At 43.6% G+C, this 2,503-nt stretch overlaps 1 annotated feature.

Annotated features, from left to right (window-relative positions):
• Positions 831 to 2,030: an enhancer, noted in NCBI's record as "BRD4-independent group 4 enhancer chr13:48095470-48096669 (GRCh37/hg19 assembly coordinates)". NCBI's record gives its function as "activates an origin of replication core promoter dependent on BRD2, P300/CBP, MED14 and CDK7 cofactors, and independent of BRD4, by STARR-seq in HCT116 cells {active_cell/tissue: HCT116}" and the evidence as "EXISTENCE:reporter gene assay evidence [ECO:0000049][PMID:35650434]".

The following is a 2,503-nucleotide window of genomic DNA, read 5'->3' as shown; positions in this document are numbered from 1 at the left end:
GGGTGTAATATAACTAGATTTGCATTTTGAAAAGGTTATTCTGGTACCATGTGGAGAATGGATTGGAAAGGGGCAAAGGTAGATAGGAGAAGCTAATTAGGAGAATGCTGCAGTAGACCAGGCTAGAGATAATGGCATATTTGGGGCTTAGGGGACAATAATGGAACCAGAGAAAGGTGAAAAAAATTCAGAGAGACTTGGGAAAGAATACGAAATAACTTATTAATGACTTGAATATGGAAGGAGGTATTAAGAACTCCTAAATTATCAATGCTTGGAGCAACAAGGTTATATAGCTTTTAAACATTTAGCATCCATTGATTTGATTGATTGATTGATAGGCTCTAGCTAAGCTCTGCAGGCTGGAGTGCAGTGTTGGGATCACAGCTCACTGCAGCCTACATTGTCTGGGCTCAACAATCTTCCCACCTCAGTTTCCCAAGGAGCTGTGACCACACACGCACACCACCATGCCTGGGTGATTTTTTAAAAAATTTTTTGTAGAGATGGGGTCTCCCTCTGTTGCCTAGGCTGGGCTTGAATTTCTGGGCTAGAGTGATCCTCCCACCTTGGCCTCCCAAAACTGTTGGAATTACAGGAGTGAGCCATCATGTCCAGCCCCTTTTCAATCTTTAAACTGTGTTTTAGATACAAATGTTCCCAGCTGACACTTTGCAAAAATTATAAATTGCACTAAAATGTGGAGATTTGGGGAAGAAATCTGTCCTGGGAAAGCTTAGAAGTTAAAAATCAATATTGAAACATACTTTTATTTATTTACAAAACTTGGTATAAAACTTAGTTCTCTAAGATCATGCCAATAGTCCACTTTATCTCCAACACTTAATTCCAGTTTAATGAAGGAATTGGATGATTACTTCAGAATTTTGAAATAAAAAATTATCCTGAATAAGAAAAGTTAGTTACTTTCTGCTATTTTAAAGTACCAGAATTTATAAAATACACTTACCCTGAGATCTTCTTGGTCAAAGTTTCATAGTATCATAAATTCTGGTAAAGCTGATATGTCACAACTATTTTTGGAGTCCATGTCACCTCTGATGTCTATTTCTGGTTGCCGTGGCTATGAGAAGTGGGTGTCCCAGAAATAGGATGACTTACATTTTTGTTTACTCATGTTATCTTGACTCTACTTTTTAATAAACATTGCTGTTACTATAAAAAATATCTCAGTTTGGGCTGGGTGTGGTGGCTCAAGCCTGTAATCCTAGTCAGACCCTATCAGTGCTCCTCAAAGCTCAAGTCCATCAGTGCAGGGCCATACAACTAATACCCCTACTTATAGGGTTAGGAATGGCTACTGCTACAGAAACCAGAATAGTAGGTTTATCTACTGCATTATCCTACTACCACACACTATCAAAGGATTTCTCAGACAGTTTGCAAGAAATAACAAAATCTATCCTTACTCTACGGTCCCAAATAGACTCTTTGGCAGCAGTGACTCTCCAAAACCGCTGAGGCCTAGACCTCCTTACTGCTGAGAAAGGAGGACTTTGCCCCTTCTTAGGGGAAGAGTGTTGTTTTTACACTAACCAGTCAGGGATCATACGAGATGCCACCCAGCATTTACAGGAAAAGGCTTCTGACATCAGGCAACACCTTTCAAACTCTTATACCAACCTCTGGAGTTGGGCAACATGGCTTCTCCCCTTTCTAGGTCCTGTGACAGCCATCTTGCTATTACTCGCCTTCGGGCTCTGTGTTTTTAACCTCCTTATCAAATTTGTTTCCTCCAGGATCGAGGCCATCAAGCTACTGATGGTCTTACGAATGGAACCCCAAATGAGCTCAACTAACAACTTCTACCGAGGACCCCCTGGACCAACCCACTGACCCTTTGGCTGGCCTAGAGAGTTCCCCTCTGGAGGACACTAACACTGCAGGGCCCCTTCTTCGCCCCTATCCAGCAGTAAGTAGCTAGAGCGGTCATCACCCAATTCCCAACAGCAGTTGGGGTGTCCTGTTTAGAGGGGGGATTGACAGATGAAGCCAGTTGGACTTCCTGGGTCAAGTGGGCACTTGGAGAACTTTTCTGTCTAGCTGGAGGATTGTAAACGCGCCAATCAGTGCCCTGTGTCTAGCTAGAGGATTGTAAATGCACCAATCAGCACTCTGTAAAATGGACCAATCAGAGCTCTGTAAAATGGACCAATCAGCAGGACATGGGCAGGGACAAATAAGGAAATAATAGCTGGCCACCCCAGCCAGCAGCGGCAGCCTGCTGGGGTCCCATTGCACATTGTGGAAGCTTTGCTCTTTCGCTCTTCACAATAAATCTAGCTGCTGCTCACTCTTTGGGTCCATGCCACCTTTAAGAGCCGTAACACTCACCATGAAGGTCTGTGGCTTCATTCTTGAAGTCAGCGAGACCAAGAACCCACTGGAAGGAACTAACTTCAGACACACTAGCACTTTGGGAGGCTGAGGTGGGTGGATTGCCTGAGCTCAGGAGTTCGAGACCAGCCTGGGCAACATGGTG

This window comes from Homo sapiens, chromosome 13, assembly GCF_000001405.40.
Source record: "Homo sapiens chromosome 13, GRCh38.p14 Primary Assembly".
NCBI lineage: Eukaryota > Metazoa > Chordata > Mammalia > Primates > Hominidae > Homo > Homo sapiens.
Note: the sequence above shows the minus strand (reverse complement) of the source record. Positions and strands in the feature narration are given on the sequence as shown.